General features: G+C 46.3%; 1 protein-coding gene and 1 long non-coding RNA gene across 2 annotated transcripts in view, besides 7 other annotated features; both read left to right on the top strand.

Moving 5' to 3' along the window:
• Positions 6-215: an enhancer, noted in NCBI's record as "active region_11780". NCBI's record gives its function as "activates an Ori minimal core promoter by ATAC-STARR-seq in GM12878 lymphoblastoid cells {active_cell/tissue: GM12878}" and the evidence as "EXISTENCE:reporter gene assay evidence [ECO:0000049][PMID:35858748]".
• On the top strand, positions 129-5,483 carry LOC284191 (uncharacterized). Its single transcript, NR_148948.1, has 3 exons — positions 129-181; positions 766-1,281; positions 3,852-5,483. It is a non-coding gene; the product is annotated as an uncharacterized LOC284191 (long non-coding RNA).
• Positions 236-285: an enhancer, noted in NCBI's record as "active region_11779". NCBI's record gives its function as "activates an Ori minimal core promoter by ATAC-STARR-seq in GM12878 lymphoblastoid cells {active_cell/tissue: GM12878}" and the evidence as "EXISTENCE:reporter gene assay evidence [ECO:0000049][PMID:35858748]".
• Positions 296-545: an enhancer, noted in NCBI's record as "active region_11778". NCBI's record gives its function as "activates an Ori minimal core promoter by ATAC-STARR-seq in GM12878 lymphoblastoid cells {active_cell/tissue: GM12878}" and the evidence as "EXISTENCE:reporter gene assay evidence [ECO:0000049][PMID:35858748]".
• Positions 5,465-5,594: an enhancer, noted in NCBI's record as "active region_11777". NCBI's record gives its function as "activates an Ori minimal core promoter by ATAC-STARR-seq in GM12878 lymphoblastoid cells {active_cell/tissue: GM12878}" and the evidence as "EXISTENCE:reporter gene assay evidence [ECO:0000049][PMID:35858748]".
• Positions 7,643-7,692: an enhancer, noted in NCBI's record as "active region_11776". NCBI's record gives its function as "activates an Ori minimal core promoter by ATAC-STARR-seq in GM12878 lymphoblastoid cells {active_cell/tissue: GM12878}" and the evidence as "EXISTENCE:reporter gene assay evidence [ECO:0000049][PMID:35858748]".
• Positions 7,763-7,932: an enhancer, noted in NCBI's record as "active region_11775". NCBI's record gives its function as "activates an Ori minimal core promoter by ATAC-STARR-seq in GM12878 lymphoblastoid cells {active_cell/tissue: GM12878}" and the evidence as "EXISTENCE:reporter gene assay evidence [ECO:0000049][PMID:35858748]".
• The window catches only part of TNFRSF13B (TNF receptor superfamily member 13B), a 33,038-nt gene continuing 24,221 nt past the window's right edge, over positions 9,364-18,180 (top strand). The window contains exon 1 of the mRNA NM_012452.3: positions 9,364-9,467. Within this exon, the coding sequence (NP_036584.1) occupies positions 9,407-9,467 (61 nt within the window). The 5' untranslated portion in view covers positions 9,364-9,406. The remainder of the gene's footprint in view (positions 9,468-18,180) is intronic.
• Positions 16,650-16,919: an enhancer, noted in NCBI's record as "active region_11774". NCBI's record gives its function as "activates an Ori minimal core promoter by ATAC-STARR-seq in GM12878 lymphoblastoid cells {active_cell/tissue: GM12878}" and the evidence as "EXISTENCE:reporter gene assay evidence [ECO:0000049][PMID:35858748]".

Here is an 18,180-nt window from a genome sequence, read left to right as displayed (position 1 = left end):
AGATAAAGGTTTCCAGAGGCGTCAGCATGACGCTCAGCCCCGGCCTCTTTTTCTCTCGTTCTTGCACCATCTGTCTGTTGAGTGCCTGCCACATGCCAGGTGCAGCCTCAGATGCCGGAGGCATAGTCACTTTCGGATGAGGGAAGCAGATAGCCCACCAGCGAGCACAGGGACGTGCCAGGTCAGTCCAAGCAGGAGCAAGTGCTCAGGAAATAAACCAGATGGGAGTGGTAGGGAGTGGCCAGGGTGGGGACTCTGGCCAGGGTATCTAGGAAGTCCTCTTTGAGGAGGTGCTGTTGGAACCAGGACTCAGTCCTTCAGAGAGCCACAGGCTGAGCACTCCTGGCAGGGCAGCAGCAGGGGCAAGGCGGCCGAGCGGAGAATGGGCCTGGCTTGTCTGAAGACCAAGACGGCTGTGGCTGCAGCGGAGTTAAGCGGGAGAGGTGGGAGAGGAGAGCAGGAAGGCAGGGGCCAGGCAGCCTGGGGCCTCGTCCAGACTCTCAGCTTCTGTACTTCTCCCTGGGGACATCTGTGAGTCGCTGAGCTGTGGACAGGGAGTGCTCACTGAGTCACCCAGGGCCTCACGGCAGGACCTGGCCACATCTTCTCACGAAGGACCCGGTTCATTGATTCTCCTTCCTCAAATAGGTCCCCTCCACCCAGCAGAACCCAAAGGAATCAAAAGCTTGGGGGTTTTGTGCATTTGTTTTAAGATTCCAACTTTCTTGTCCATTTACCTTTTTATTTTTTATTTTTTTGAGACAGATTTCGCTCTTGTCGCCCAGGCTGGAGTGCAACGGTATGATCTCATGTCACGGCAACCTCCGCCTCCCAGGTTCAAGCAATTCTCCCGCCTCAGCCTCCCGAGTAGCTGGGACTACAGGTGCCTGCCACCAAGCTCAGCTAATTTTTGTATCTTTAGTAGAGACGGGGTTTCACTATGCTGGCCAGGCTCGTCTCGAACTCCTGACCTCAAGTGATCCGCGCGCCTCGGCCTCCCAAAGTGCTGGGATTACAGGCGTGAGCCACCACGTCTGGCCTTCTTGTCCGTTTATTTATTCATTCAACAAATATTCATGAAATGTATGTTGTAAGCTGAATACTTTGCCAGGCTCCGAGGACCAGTCAGGCACTTTGATGCCTTCAAGCAGCCTAGGACCTAGAGGTTTCAATGCCTCTGCTTTCCTATTTATAAATGGGCAGACTGGACCTGAAGTCCTGAAGGCTCACCCGCCTGGAAGCCACCTCTCCTCTGGAGTTCTGATGACGCTGCAGAAGCCTGTACGTATCTCTGCCCAATACCACATGTACAACAGAGGACTTTAACTAAAACGAGTGAGAGAGAGAGATTCCTTTTTCCCAACTTAGGATCTAAAAGTTTCTTGAACGTTCAGTTCTGTGGCTCCATTGCCCACCCAGATCACCCACCCTGGCTACAACCAATCCAAAAACTTGAACAGATTAAGAGTTTACCAACCCACCCTTCCTTTCTGACCTGGAGTGAGAAAGAAGCACAGTTGTCCCTCAGTATCCACAGGCGATCTGGTCCAGGTCCTTAAGAATACCGAAATATGCAGATGCTCAAGTCTCTGATATAAAATGTGTAGTATTTGCATATAAGCTATGCACATCCTCCCATAGAGTTTAAATAATCTCTAGATTACTTATAACACCTAATACAATGTAAATGCTATATAAATGGTTATACTATATTGTTTTCATTTGCATTATTTTCTATTTTTTATCTATTTTTTTTTTTTTTTGAGATGGAGTCTTGCTCTGTCACCCAGGCTGGGGTGCAATGACGTAATCTCTGCTCACTGCAACCTCTGCCTCCTGGGTTCAAGCAGTTCTCGTGACTCAGCCTCCCAAGTAGCTGAGATTATAGGCGTCTGCCACCACATCTGGCTAATTTTTGTATTTTTAGTAGAGAAAGGGTTTCACCATGTTGACCAGGCTGGTCTTGAACTCCTGACCTCAAGCAGTCCACCCGCCTCAGCCTCCCAAAGTGCTGAGTTTACAGGCATGAGCCACTGTGCCTGGCCATTATTTCTATTTTCTACTTGTGGTTAGTGGTTAGTTGAATCTGTGGAGGCAGAAACTGCAGCTATGAAGGGCCGGCTGTACTATAACTGCCTGCTCTGCTTGTCTTCTACCCAGAAACCTGGGCAAATGGGCTAGGAGCTATTTGCAAGGCTGTAATTTTTGGTTAACGAACAACTTCTCTGCTCATAGCCATGGGAACCAGGGAAGGAGACAAGAAAACCAGAACCAATCTTCTTCTTTCAGTGTGAAACCATCTTTTATTCTTGCTGGGAACTATCTGGGCATCTGGGAGGAGTGTGAAGGAGCAATACTATACAGAGGGAAGGGTTTGGGCTCTGGAAGCAGATCGCTTACCAGCTCTATGACCTTAGGCAAGTCACTGTTCCACTCTGACCCTCTGTCTCCTTTTCAGCAAAATGGAAATAATAAATCTATTCCTAGGCCTGGCATGGTGGCTCACGAATGTAATCCCAGCACTTTGGGAGGCCGAGCTGGGAGGATCACTTGAGCACAGGAGTTCGAAATTAGCCTCAGCAACAATTGAGACTGTGTCTTTACTAAAAAATAATTTAAAAGTTAGGCAGGCATGGTGGTTCGCACCTGTCATCCCAGCTACTCAGAAGGCTGAGGTGGGAGGATTGTTTGAGCCCAGGAGGTTGAGGCTGCAGTGAGCTGTGATTGTGCCAGTGCTCTCCAGCCTGGGTGGCAGAGTGAGACCCTATCTCAAAATAAACACATAAGTAAATATAAATAAATTTCTGAGAGGATCAAGTAAAGTGGTTAAAGTAATAAAGCCTGGCTCATAGAAAGCCGGGTGATAAGTACTAGGCGACAAGCAATATTATTCATACAAATATAAGGACAATGACAATTGAGAATAATTTCATTCCCTTTGTGATAGCCACCTGATTGTTAGTGCCTAGGAGGCACTCTCTCTAGAGGAGAGACCGAGGATTCACTAGCAGCTCAGATCCACAGAGCAGAGCATACCCCATGTGTCTCATGGAAACACCCCTTCACAGTGGCCGAGAAACATCTGTGCACTGCCTTGCTAGAAATCGGGAAATACAAATTAAAGCAACAAATACCATTTCTCACCTATTAGTTTGGCAAAAATGTAATAGTCTGATACTATCCCATGTGGATGAAGATATGAGGGAGGAGCCAGCCACATGTGGCTGCTGGTGGGAGAGAATATTAATTAGTGTGGTCATTTGGGCAATATCTAGTGAAGCTGGCCACAACTCAGAGAGATGCTCATACATCTGCACAAAGGCACGCACAGGTCTGCCCACTGTAGCGTGGCTCCTAACAGCGAGGAATCAAAAACAGTCCACGTGTTCTTCAGTAGAGGAGGAACGGAAAAGAATGTGTGGAATCCCATAGAGCAGCTAAACGGGAATGAGCTCATTATATGAGCATCCATATGAGCTGATCTCAAAGGTGTTGGGTGAGAAAAGAAAGGGACATAATGATAGATTTAGAATGCTATTTATATAAAATGTTTAAAAATAACACGCAAAATAATGCTATATACTGTATTTTTCATAGCTAAAACATTCTGTACTGTACTCATAAAAGTATAAAAAGGGGCCTGGAAGATAGAGCCACATTTATGATGGTGAGTGTAGGGTAGGAAGTAGAATAGGGAGTTGGGGGATTTCGGAGATTTCACTGTCATGTTTTCCTTCTTATAAGAAAAACTTGAAGGTGAATATGCCAAAATTTTAACACAAATTCTCAGTGGTGAAAATATGGATGTTGGTTATATTTTTCATGGTTATTTTCTGTATTTTTTTTCAAAGGGGAAAATAACAAGAAAGCTCTATTTACAGAAAAACACCAGCTAAAAAATGTAGAAGGAATCTAAAAGGTATCGAAAGTTACCACCTTGCAAGTGGAATATTGGTTTTGGCCAAAGATGCTAAAATGATCAACAGAAGGGTCGTCCTTTCTGTTGGGAACCAGGATGCTCACAAGGCATTGCCCACAAGGGACACTAATTGCAAAAGGGACAGTGTGCCTCCACAGGGGAACAGCTGGTGTCACCATCTTAACAAGGGATCTGACAGCATCACCGTGGGGGGAGAAAGCCAACATCATGCACCTCCAGGAGCTCTCAGAGGTTGGAGGAACACGTGAACCAACACCAGGAGGATACAGCCCGAGAGATCAGCCATGGGACATTTCACAAGACCACGGCCAAGTCTCTTCACAAAGTCAACGTCAAACACACCAAACAAAGGAAAAAAAGATAAAAGAGAAGAAAAAGAGCAAAAGGGAAGGGACTGCTCTAGCCAAAAAAGGACTACACAGATACAATGACCGGATGTAATATGTGACCCCCAGAGGGATACCGATTCAAAAGATGCAGCCATGGAAAATGTCTTATAAGCACCAGGGCCATTTAAATGTGGACTAGATGTCAGATGGTCTTATTGAACTATGATTGACTTTCTTAGATGTGATCATGACAGTCTATGTGAGAGAATGTCCATTTTCTTAGGAGGTGCCTTGTGGACACACTTAGGACTGCAGTGTCGGGATGTCTGCAAATTGCCTTCAGGGTCTCAGCCAGAAGGCAGGCAGGAAGAGACAGAGATGGATGGAGCCATGCAGACACCAAGGTGAAGAGCTACTGAATCTTGGTGGAGGGTCCCTGAGTCTTCATTATAATTTTAACTTTCTTGAAGTTTTGAAGTTTTCATAATAAAAAGTTAGGAGGGAAACATTTTAAAGTAGAGAAACTAGATCTTCCCACAGAACACTGGGGACCCTTATTATTATTATTTTAAACCCTGCTCTTTGCTTTTTCAAAGTGAGTTTTGCTAAAATAATGGTATCTAGCATTTCTGAGAAATTAGCACAAATGTACAGCTACATTAGCAACAGGAAATTCAGCACATCTGAGTCATCTATGTAAATGGCAATAATGAAAATGAGGGCTTTCGCTGCATGTCTAAGAAATGTCCTCTTTTGGAGACTCTTCCTTTTGTTTTACACCCAGAACTGTCTCAGAGGAGGTTCAACAGCAGGGCCTCAAGGGACCAGGAGTAGGTGGCAGACATGAGGGAGCTCAAAGAGACCACAGCACCTGCAGGGATGTGGGTCTTTAGGGCCAAAATACCACGGACATGCTAGTGCAGAGTGGAACCATCTCCCTGGGAAATATTGATCAACAGGCCAGTGTTGCCTTTCTTCAAACAATTTAACTTAAGGAGCTCATGCCCCTCAAGGTGACAAAGACGGTAAAATGTGAATTAAATGAGCAGATGTTACGTGTTTAGAACAGTGCCCTAAGTTTTCCCTGTTGTTACTCCCAATGATCACTGTAGGAGTTCATTTCAAAAGCTAAGAACTGTCCGGCAGGCTATACTAAATGGAAAAGGTGGCATGCTAAACAGCAACCTTGATCTGTATAAGCCAGCAGTTGTGTTAAAAAAAAAAAAAAAAGGTATGGAGGGGGAGGGAGAGGTGAAATATATCCTCTAGCGACACGCACATGCTCAGAAATGCCTAGGCTTTGCTGGGAGGCTGTATGAACAAGGTCCACTAAGGGTTGCCGCCTTTGAGTAGGGACATCATGGGCCTAGGATAACCAGACAGGAGAGAAATTTACTTCCGCCATATTCTTTTACTGCTTGAATTTTTTTCTTTACTATGTGTGCATTTTAACTCGCTAATTATACATATATAAATGAACCAGGTCCAAAACCTTAAGGTATATGAGTTATCTCTACTCTGGGTTCTAAATCTCTTCTGTCACCTTGGCTGTGGAGCTTAAAATTAGAATCCCGCATCCTCTTGGGAGACAGCTCAAAAAAAGGCTGGTCTCAGAATGAGCTTTAGAAACCTCCAGCACCTGTTCAATCTTCTGGGGGAGCCAGTGCAGAGGGGGAATCTATTTTTGTGTTTCATGAAACGATCCCATTTGTATGTTTCCATTTATACAAAGTTTGGGGAACAAGCAAAATGAATCTGTGGTGGCAGGAGTCAGAATTGTGACTCTCTTGGGGATGGAGTGGGGTGTGCTGGCTGGAAGGGGCAGTGAGGGACCTTCTGGGGGCTGTGCATGCTCTGAGTTGTGATCTGAGTTGTGGTTGCCTGGGTGTGCATGTATGAGAACACTTACTGAACTTCCCATTTTAAAAGGGTGCATTTCACTGTCTGTAAATTACACCATCTAATTAAAGAAAATAGAAAGCAAATTAAATCCATTCTCTGTAAACTGCATTTGAGCAAAAGCATTAACAAGCTGTGATTGGCAGTAAGACATTAGGGAACTCTGTCATTCAATTCTCAGCCACTCCCCAAATCAGGCTGGATTTTGTTTGTTTTTCATTTCAGGCATAACAGGTATTGGCTTTAAAACTCCAGGACAATGTGTGTGGCTGCAGAGAGCAGCATTCAGTCCCATGGAAGCACAGTCTGGAAGCACAGTCTGCTCACTGGACAAAGCTGAACTTGCTGTCTTTCCTTCTTCTCCTTCCTTCTCCTCTTTCTCCTTCTCCTTCTTCTTCCTCCTCCTCCTTTTTTTGCGACAGGTTCTCATTCTGTAGCCCAGGCTGGAGTGCAGTGGTGTGATCATAGCTCACTGTAGCCTTGAACTCCTGAGCTCCAGCCCAGTGTTGCAATCCTCCAGCCTCCCAAGTTGCTAGGACTACGGGTGCACACCACCACACCCAGCTAATTAAAAAAAAAATTAGGCTGGGTGCAGTGGCTAACGCCTGTAATCCCAGCACTTTGGGAGGCCAAGACGGGTAGATCACTTGAGGTCAGGAGTTCGAGACCAGCCTGGACAACATGGTGAAACCCTGTCTCCAATAAAAATACAAAAATTAGCCGGGAGTGGTGGCTCACTCCTCTAGTCCCAGCTACTCAGGAGGCTGAGGCACGAGAATCGCTTGAACCCAGGAGGTGGAGGTTGTAGTGAGCTGAGATCACGCCACCACACTCCAGCCTGGGCAACAGAGTGAGACTCGGTCTCAAAAAAAAAAAAATTATAGAGACAGGGTCGCTATGTTGCCCAGGCTAGAGCTGAGCTTTCTAACCATCAGAGCTACCCCCCAGGGAGCCAGCTGCTCCGTGAGGTGGTGAGAGCCCTGACCCTGGGGGTATGCAAACAGGAGGTGAGGGGGGACTCAGTGAGGGCATCCTGTAGTGACTTTGGGCTTGCCCATTTCAACAGGCAGAAAGTTCCTGGCAATGGGATCTCTTTCTTACCTCTCTCTTAGAAATCCACTGCCAGAGCCCAGCTATGGTTTTGTCACTGTTCATTGACACAAGTAATTAAATGTAAACAAGTAATTAAATGTAAAACCCCTACAAATGTAAAAGCCCTAAATGTAAAATGTTTAGCCCTACAAATAGGGCTAAAGTCCCCTTTGACGGTCACCCCCAGTCCTGGTTCCCTCTTGCCCCACCCGGCGAGAGCCAGTTTCGTCATGCATGTCTTTGCAGACTTCTTATGCTTCACAGTCATGTGTGCGTGATCACAGACAACACAGCGCTGTACTGTGTGTGTGTGTGTGTGCATGTTGTTTGCTTTTGGTTTTGTTTTACTAAAAGGCATCATGCTGTAAGGCTCATGCTATAAGCTACTTTTATTTACTCAGCGTCTGTCCTGAAAGCTTCGAGATTTCTCATTCTTTTAACTGTGCAATAGATTCCTGGCTCTGGCCTGTGCACCCTGCTTATTCAGGCATCCTCTGCTGCATGGACATTTACATTGTTTCCCGTTTCTCGCTGTCATGAGGAGGCTCACGGAGGAGGAGAATTTCTGGGGGGTGGGTTAGGTGTGTGTTGTGCATTTAACTGACCCTGGCTGGTTACTCTCCAGAACGCTGCTGCCAGCTCCCTCCCTCCAGTGGGCCCTGAGTTCATGCTTCTGTAGATCACCCCCCTGCCCTTGATGTTACCAACTTTAAAACTTTGCAACCTGATGGCTGAAAGTTAGTTTTTCATTGTTCAGTTGTTTTTCTGATTTTTGGGAGACTGGACATTTTCCTGTGTTTGCTGACCGTCTGCATCTCCTCTCCTGCTCTGTGCACCATCACCCTGCTCCAGCTGCTTCCTGCAGCCTCCCTCCTTCCTCTCCACCTCTCCATGTCCTCCTCGTCCTTCAGTTTCTTCCTAAGGGCCCATGGGCTTTCTTTGGCTTTTACGTTCCTCTCACTCCGCCTTTGGCTGTTGCTGGGCCTCCCATCCCCTGGGAGGTTTCAGACGATGGGGAAGACACAGGAGTGCAGTCGCCATGCAGTGCAATACGGGCTGTAATGTTCCTCCTCCACGGCCTTTATTGAGGACTTACTGTGTGCCAAGAACCTGCTCTAAGAATGTAACTGTGCTCCCTCCCTCATTTCATGCTCATAACCGCCTGTGAGGCGGGCAATGTTCTCATCCTTTTTTTTTTTTTTTTTTTTGAGATGGCATCTCTGTTGCCCAGGCTGGAGTGCAATGGCACGATCTCGGCTCACTACAACCTCTGACTCCCAGGTTCATTCTCCTGCCACAGCCTCCCAAATAGATGGGACTACAGGCACGCGCCACCACACCCGGCTAATTTTTTGTATTTTTTTTTAGTAGAGATGGGGTTTCACCGTGTTGCCCAGGATGGTCTCGAACTCCTGAGCTCAGACAATCCACCTGCCTCGGCCTCCCAAAGTGCTAGGATTACAGGCGTGAGCCACCATGCCCGACCTCATCCTTGTTTTACACAGAGAACATGGAGGCACAGAAGAGTTCCATAAATTGCCACCAAGGCCTTCTGCTAGTATGCAGCAGAGTCAAGATTCAAACGCAGGCTGTCCGGTCCTGGGGTTCAGCCTCTCCAGTGCTCTGCTAGGTGTTGGAGAGGGTCAAGGAGATACAGAGAATGAGTACCACCTGACAGGCTGGGACAGTCAGGGATGGCTTCCTGGAGGAGGTGACACCTCAATGGAGCCTTGAAGGAAGAGCAGGAGGAGCCGACCAGGCAATGAATAGAATAAGTATACCCAGGAAGAGGGAAAGGCCTGAGTGATGCTGGGAGGGTGGAGAGCTGGCCTGGCTTGGGGTGTGTGCCGGCGGGCAGGAGATGAGGACCAAGGGATGGCCAAGGCCAGATCTAGAAGAGCCTGGGCCATCCCATAGTCAATACCTCATCGCAAGGCCCGGCAGGCCTTCCACTGCTCTGTGTGTACCCCATGGGACGCCAGGAGCCTGGGCCGCAGCCACCCACCTGGGCTCCTGAGACCCAATGCACAGGCATGGGGGCGGGAGTGGGTGTGGCTGATTTACATCCAACAGGTTGAGGGGAAAACCCAGGAAGTGCAGCCCAAGCACTAATCAAATCTAAGACTAGTAATAAGCATCCTGAGTAATGAGTGGCCTGGGCCGGAGCAGGCGAGGTGGCCGGAGCCGTGTGGACCAGGAGGAGCGCTGTGAGTAGCCGGGCAGGAGGGCAGGAGGGCAGGTGGGAGGTGTGAGGAGGGTTGGGCCTGAGTGCCGTGGGGGTTGCAAGGTCCAGCAGGTGCAAAGCCCACAGCAGATCCACACACTGGGGCAGTCCCAGCCTCCCCAAGCTCCTGCACATGGAGAGCCCCGAGTCTGGATGCCTCTGGGATGTGGGGCTTGCCTTCCGTGACAGAAGCCACTGAGGTTGCAGGGTTGGCCACACCGGCAGGAATTCCCTTTGTCACCATGGCCCCTGCACAGCCCCCATTTTCCCCCTTACATGCCCGCTGGACCATTTTAATGCTAATCTCAAATACCAGATTGTTTGAGTTGTGGAGACCACAGGATTTATTCCTTAAGAACACAAACCCTAAAAACAAAACAAAAAACTAAGCATCATACCTTCACCCCTGCTGAAACAACAATTCCTGAACATCATCACATAGCCCGCCAGGGTTCAAACTGTACCAACTGTCTCACCAATGTCTTTCTCAGTTGACTTGTTCAAATCAGCCTGTCCCACATTAGACTTTTGGCTATGTTTTAATCTATAACAGTTTCCACCCATTTTTTCTGTTATATATTTATATTTATATTTATCCTATAGCTTTCTTTTTTTTTGTTTTGTTGTTTTGTTTTTGTTTTTGTTTTTTGAGACAGAGTCTTGCTCTGTCACCCAGGTTGGAGTGCAATGGCATGATCTCGGCTTTCTGCAACCTCCGCCTCCCGGGTTCAAGCCATTCTCCTGCCTCAGCCTCCCGAGTGGCTGAGATTATAGGTGCCCACCACCACGCCCGGCTAATTTTTTGTATTTTTAGTAGAGATAGGCTTTCGCCACGTTGGCCAGGCTGATCTCAAACTCCTGACCTCAGGTGATCCACCTGCCTCAGCCTCCCAAAGTATTGGGATTACAGGCATGAGCCACGGCACCCGGCCCGTATAGCATTTTCATCAGGGTGGGTTTCTAAGGTTTTATGAAAGGGCCCCAGGTCCTTTAGTGCAGACAGAACCCATGGCCAGATGGACCCGGGGCACAGCCTAGATTCACAGCCTCTGCCTGCTGCTCTGTCCCACACCTCAGGCAGGGAGCAAATTTGTTCTTCAGTCCTTTTTTGTGTCCAGCCACCAAGTCCCCAGAATCTACACAGCCAGGGGCTCAAATATGTAAAGTTTCTGAGAGACTTGGACAAGGCAGTGACCAGAGGCTGCCTTAACACAGGATGAAATTGCCCAGTGCTCTGGGGCCACGAGTCAGGACCCAGCTAGAACTGTGACCTGGCAGTGGCAGAAGCTGTCTGGTGCTGCCGAATCAGCCCTGGCCGGTTGTCCACTGGCCCACTCTGGGACCTTGGCTGAGCCGCTTCCCCTCAGTGTAAAATGAAGAAGACTGTCTTTCCTACCAGACATCCCTCAAACACACAAAAGTGCTTTGATGAAACTACCAGACCCCCTCTTGGGGAGTCATGAGGAAAGGCTCTGAGAAGCCCTGCGGTTAAAAAACTGCCTTGACTTTCTTTAACCCAGTGTTTTTCAAACTAATCCGACCACAGAGCTCTTTCTTGGTGCAGCACCTGTTAACCGGCCAAGCCCGTGAGGAGGCACAAGCAGAGGGCTCTGAGAATCACCCTCCTTGGCTGCTCTCTGGTCTCGGGGTGCAGGAGAGAGTCTCCATCCTGCATCCAAATTTGTGGCGGCCCAGAGTCTGAGCCCAGCCCACACAGCTAGTGTCAGAGAGGTGTTCCCTTTCTTCCCTTTCCATCAACGAAGCTTCTCTCTCAAGCTTCTATTCTGCCTGGCTGGTGTCAGTCATGGGGTTTTCCTGCCCTCCTTTGGCACTTGATGATGGTTCTGGGATTTTATGTAGGTCCACATGGTGGTAGAGGAGGGGGCGGGGACAGGCCCTCTGGTCAGCTTGGCATCTGCTGTCTGGTCAGTCAGGCACTGTCTCTCTGTCAGGTCCAGTGGCTTTTGGTGGCTTTGGTCCAGGCAATGAATGGGTCTTGGAACATCTCCAAGGCTGCCCTTGTCACATAGAACGTCCTGCCCACCTTCCACTCAACCAACCCTTCACGGTGATATGCGGCGGGTGGTGGCTTTCTCCCTCTTTGCTCCCCAACCCAAAAGTGGGGAGAATCGGGTCTGCCTTTAATTTTGTTTGATCCTTTGATTTTAGATTTGCCTTTGAATAGATAGTATAGTCAGATGGTTTGAAACCCAGAAAGTATTGAAAGATATATAATAGAAAGTCTTTTCTTCCTCCTTGTCCTCCATCTGCCCAGTTCCCACCTCCCCTAGAATAAGCAGCTTTATTTACATATAACTTACATGCCATGAAATTCACCTGTGTAAAGCATACAAGTCTGTGTTTTTAGTATATTTACAGAGTTGTGCAACCATCACCATAAGCTAATTTTGGAAGATTTTGATGACCCCAAAAAGAAACTTTGTCAGTCTTCATTCCTCCCTAGCCCCAGGCTAATCTACTCTCTGTCTCTATAGATTTGCCTGTTTTGGACATTTTCCATAAATGGAATCATATGTGATGTATTGTGACTAGCTGCTTCCACTTGGCATAATGTTTTCAAGGGCCGTCCATGTTGTAGCAGGTATCAGTACTTGCTTCAGTTTTGTGGCCAAGTAACATTCCACTTTATGGATATGTCATGTGGCTTTTCCAGTCATCGGTGGATGGACATTTGGGTTGTTTCTACTTTTTTTGTCACTGTGATTATTAAGAAAGCTTCTATGAACTTTTGGATTCAAGTTTTGGGTGAACATGTCTTCATTTCTCTTAAGTAGATAGATACCTACAAGTGGAATTGCTGGGTCATATGATAAATTCTATGTTTAACATTTTAAGGAACTGCAAAATGCTTTCCAAAGCAGCTGCACTATTTTATAATTCACTTCATGCATGAGGGTTCCAATTTCTCCACATCTTCACCGACATTTGTCATTGACTGTCTTTCTCATTCTAGCCATCCCAAGGGGTGTGAGGTGGTATCTCACTGTGGTTTGGATTTGCATTTCCCTAGTGACAAATGATGTTAAGCATCTTTTCATGTGCTTCTTTAGCCATTTATATGGTTTTTTTGGGGAAAATGCCTATTGAAATATTTAGCCCATATAAAAATTGGGTTGCCTTTTCATTATTCTGTTATAAGCATTCTTTATATATTTTGGATACAAGCTCCTTTTCAGGTATAATATTTGAACCTATTTTCTCCAAGTTAGTGAATTGTCTTTTTACTTTCTTCATGATTTGCTTTGGAACACAAAAGTTTTTCATTTGATTAAGTCCAATTTTGATCAATCTTCTCTTCTATCACACGCACATTTGGTGTCACTGCCTAGCCTCAAATCATGAAGATTTACTTCTATGTTTTCTTCTATGAGTTCTGTGGTTTTAGCTCTTACATGTAAGTCTATGATCTACTTTGAGTTAATGTTTGTGTGTGGTGTGAGATAATGGTCCAAATTCATTCTTTTGTATGTGAATACCCAGTTGACCCAGCATCATTTTTGAAAACACTATTCTTTCTCCCATTGAATAGTCTGGGTATCCTTGTTGAAAATCCATTGATCATAACTGTTAGGCTTTATTTTTGGGCTCTCAATTATATTCTGTTGATTTATGCCTGTCTGATGCCAGTACCACCCTATCTTAATTAGCATTGCCTTGCAATAAGTTTTGAAGTAGGGAAACATGAGTCTTCCAACTATGCTTTGTTTTCTTTCAATCCATGAGCATGGGATGGCTTTCCATTTATTTAAATCCTTAATTTCCTTCAGCAATGTTTTTTAGTTTTCATGTATGTCTTGCATTTCTTTTCCTTTCTTTTTTCTTTTTTTTTTTTTTTGAGACAGGGTTTCGCTCTTGTCGCCCAGGCTGGAGTGCAGTGGTGCGATCTCGGCTCACTGCGAGCTCCGCCTCCCGGGTTCATGCCATTTTCCTGCCTCAGCATCCCGAGTAGCTGGAACTACAGGCATCCGCCACCACACCCGGCTAATTTTTTGTATTTTTTTTTAGTAGAGATGCGGTTTCACCGTGTTAGCCAGGATGGTCTCAATCTCCTGATCTCGTGATCCACCCACCTCGGCATCCCAAAGTGCTGGGATTACAGGCGTGAGCCACCATGCCTGGCCTTCTTGCATTTCTTTTATTAAATTTTTTCTTAAATATTTTCCTTAAAATAGTGTGTTTGGTTTCTTTTTTTTTTCTTTCTTTCTTTTTTTTTTTTTTTTTTTTTGAGACGGAGTCTCACTCTGTCGCCCAGGCTGGAGTGCAGTGGCGTGATCCCCACTCACTGCAAGCCCCGCCTCCTGGGTTCACGCCATTCTCCTGCCTCAGCCTCCTGAATAGCTGGGACTACAGGCACCCACCACCATGCCCGGCTAATTTTTTTTTTATATATTTTTAGTAGAGACGGGGTTTCACTATGTTAGGTCAGGTTAGCCTGACCTCGTGATCCGCCAGCCTCGGCCTCCCAAAGTGCTGGGATTACAGGTGTGAGCCACTGCGCCCGGCCTGGTTTCTTATTTTTAACACAATTTTTTAATGTATACATGACCATTTACAAATATGATTAGAATTTCCCCCTTTTTTCAAAAATAACCTCCAAAACAAAAACAGGGCCTATGAGCCATGCCGTTATATACCTTGTTTTGTTTTTATTTTTGTTTTTTAGTTAATATGCCTTGCTGTTCTTTCCACAGCAACATACAGAGAGCTTCCTCATTACTTTTGTTGATAGCTACAGAACAATCTAGTGTATAAATGTACTGTAATTTACTCAGTCAATTCCCTGCTGATGGATGTTGGGTTACTTTTAATCTTCTGCTATTACAAATGTTGCTGCAATTGGCCAGGCGTGGTGGCTCACACCTGTAATCCCAGCACTTTGAAAGTCTGAGGTGGGCAGATAACCTGAAGTCAGGAGTTCCAGATCAGCCTGGCCAACATGGTGAAACCCCATCTCTACTAAAAATACAAAAATTAGCCAGGCATGCTGGCGAGTGCCTGTAATCCCAGCTACTCGGAAGGCTGAGGCAAGAGAATCGCTTGAACCCAGGAGGCAGAAGTTTCAGTGAGCCGAGATCGCACCACTGCACTCCAGCCTGGGAGACAGAGTGAGACTCCATCTCAAAAAAAAAAAAAAAAAGAAAAAAGAAAAAGAAAAAACAAAAAAAACCAAATGTTGTGCTCACTTCGGCAGCACATATACTAAAAAAAAAAATGTTGCTGTAATAAATTTATCATTTCACACTTCGGGATAAATTTCAAAGTTTAATCACTGGGTCAGTGGGTAAATCCATCAGTAATTTTGACAAATGTTGCCAAATTACCCTCCATGGGGGTTATTTCTATTTACTCTCCTTCCACAATGAATAAGAATGCCACTCTCCCCACAGGCTCTGCCAATAGAAGGTTTTACTAAACTTTTGGAGTTTTAACAATCTCAGCATGAATATGGTATCAGTGTAGTTTGAATTTGCCTGTCTCTTTTGAATGAGACCAAGCATCCTTATGTTGTATTTCCCTGACTGTGAACTGTCTATTCATGACCTTTGCCCATTTTTCTCATGGGTAGCTCTTTATTTTTCTGCTTATTCTTTAGATCTGAGTTGCAAAGGTTTTGTGCCTGTTTTTCATATGTCTTTGGAATTGGGTGTTTGTTGTCATAGAGAAGTTTTGGGGTTTTTGTTGTTGTCGTTTTTTGTTTTTGTTTTTTTGGTGTTTTTTTTTTTGAGATGGAGTCTCACTCTGTTGCGTAGGCTGGAGTGCAGTGGTGCAATCTCGGCTCACTGCAACTTCCCCCAACTGGGTTCGAGAGATTCTCCTGCCTCAGCCTCCTGAGTAGCTGGGATTACAGGCGCACACCACCATGCCCAGCTAATTTTTGTATTTCTAGTAAAGACAAGGTTTCCTCATATTGGTCAAACTGATCTCGAACTCCTGACCTCAGGTGATCCACCCACCTCGGGCTCCAAAGTGCTGGGATTACAAGCATGAGCCGCCGCATCCAGCCATAAAAAAGTTTTTTTGTTTGCCTGTTGTTTTGTGGATTCTATGTTATGCGTCTTTTCTTTTAGAGATTTTGGGTCATAGTTAGAAAGACCTTTCACACTTTGATGATGTAAAAAAATTATGAAATGGTTTCTTCTCTATTAAATTTACATGTTTTTATTCTTTTCACATTTAAATATTTTAGCGGGTTGCTTTTCGATCTGAGGGAAATTATTTCCTGTGCTCGTTTCTGGCCCAGTCACTTTGTGCCAAGAATCCTCTCTCCCAAGTGTTGAAAGCAACACCCAGGACTTTCACCTTTCCCCACCAGGCCACCTCTCCCTGCATCCTCCCTGGATGGAGGAGATGCAGGCAGGGAGGGAGCTGCTGCTGAAACTCAGTATGATCCCTGCCCAGCTGTCTATCAGCACAGTGCAAGAATGCGGCTTGCTTTTCCTTCCGCAAGTCTTTACTGAGTACAACTATATCCAGCTACTGATTAGCATTTATCCAGCACCTGCTGTGTGCCTGCTATCTTGGAAGGCACTGGATTCAGAGACAAATGAGACAGTACGGGGAGGCAGAATGGCTATACCCTGAAATGTCACATTACCAACAAGAAATGTCACCCAGCAGTGGGTTCTGGGAGTTCAGGTTCTGGGGGTAGTTCCCCCAGCCCAGAGCACTAATTTGATGCTACTATCATTATTAATGATTATCATTGGCTGGGCACAGGGGCTCACAGCTGTTGTCTTAGCTAATTGGGAAGCTGAGGGGAAAGAATCACTTGAACCCAGGAGTTCAAGGCTGCAGTGAGCTATGATTGCACCACTGTAATTTTGTAGAGACAGAGCAAGACCCTGTCTCTACAAAAGAAAATGTTAATTATCACTAATATTAAAATTATTTTACATTATTATAAATTATTATAAAATGATAACTATTAACCCATTATATTTCATACTATTTATATCACTACTGGTAGTTATTATACCAGTAGCAGCAGCCATGTCTTGGGCCAGTTACATGCTTGTCATGTACACACCCTTGAGAAGATCTACAAAAGAAAGTCTAGAGTGTCCATTTTACAGGTCAGGAAAACTGAGGTTGTGCACAGCCAGAGTCCTTCCCAAGATGACTCAGCCGTGCTTTCCCCACCACGGGCACTTCACTCCGGCACACTCTGGGTCACTGAACCATGGCGAATCCGTTTTCAACATGAGCTGGCAGGAGGTGAAAATTATGATGGGTAGAAGTGGCTGTCCCCATTTCACAAACAGAAAACTGAGAAGGTGACTTGACCAGTTTTCCCAGGACCTAACTAAGTTCTTCTTCCTTTAGAACCAGCATGGGAGGCCGGGCGTGGTGGCTCACGCCTGTAATCCCAGCACTTTGGGAGGCTGAGGCAGGCAGATCACCTGAGGTCAGGGGTTCGAGATCAGCCTGACCAACATGGAGAAACCTCATCTACTAAAAATACAAAAATTAGCCGGGTGTAGGGGCACACACCTGTAATCCCAGCTACTTGGGAGGCTGAGGCAGAAGAATTGCTTGAACTCGGAAGGCAGAGGTTGCAGTGAGCCGAGATCTCACCACTGCACTCCAGCCTGGGGAACAAGAGTGAAACTCCATCTCAAAAAAAAAAAAAAAAAAAAAAGGCATGGAGATGGTGGACTCTCAACCTTGAACATCTCTGAAGGTTCATTCTGAGTGGAGGTGGGAGCAGGCAGGGGGGTCTTAGAGCCATTTTCAGTATTTCAAAATAGCCCGGGGAAAAAGCATATACAGCTCACAGAAACCAAAAGCCATCTTTTCCTCCTCCTCCTTCCTTCTCTCCTTCTCTTCCCTGTCTTCCTCATCTCTCTTCTTTTTCCCTTCTTCTCCTCTTCTGCCTCCTCTTCCTCATCCTTCTTTTCCTCCTCCATTTCTTCCTCCTTCTCCTTCCCAGTTAGCAGAAGCCAGGTTGTAAGGTCACCATCCATTCCCATGCACATCCCTCAGGTCTCAGGCTGCAGCCTTATCGGGGCACACACCCTATCTCTGCACGCTGGAATCCTCTCCTGCCCCTACCCCACTGGTGAGCTCAACTCATAGCCCCCAGCCCAAGTTTGCAGTCAGTGTTTGCTTGAAAGACTGGATGAGAAAGGCCGGGCTCTGTGGCTCACGCCTGTAATCCCAGCACTTTGGGAGGCCGAGGCGGGTGGATCAGGAGGTCAGGAGATCGAGACCATCCTGGCTAACACGGTGAAACCCTGTCTCTACTAAAAATACAAAAAAATTAGCCAGGCGTGGTGGTGGGCACCTGTAGTGCCAGCTACTCTGGAGGCTGAGGCAGGAGAATGACGTGAACCCAGGAGGTGGAGCTTGCAGTGAGCCGAGATGGTGCCACTGCACTCCAGCCTGGGTGGCAGTGCCAGACTCCGTCTCGAAAAAACCAAAAAAACAAAAACAAAAACAAAAACAAAACTTGATAAGAAATTCCTCCTATCTGCCAAGCTTTTACTGTTCCTTCTCTTTCAGTCACATCTACAGGTTTTCTTGGTGAAATTGTAAAGGGCAAGAATGAGGAGCCCACCCATCGCCCCAACCCTGCTCCTTCACTCCTGCACAGACACCTCCCCACCAAGGAGGAAAAGAGGGAGTTGGCTCACGCCAACAGGAATTGGCCCCTAAAATTTTTGTTGTCTCGATCC

This window comes from Homo sapiens, chromosome 17, assembly GCF_000001405.40.
Source record: "Homo sapiens chromosome 17, GRCh38.p14 Primary Assembly".
NCBI classification, from domain to species: domain Eukaryota; kingdom Metazoa; phylum Chordata; class Mammalia; order Primates; family Hominidae; genus Homo; species Homo sapiens.
The sequence above is the reverse complement of the archived record's forward strand: the minus strand, read 5'-3'. Positions and strand labels throughout refer to the sequence as shown.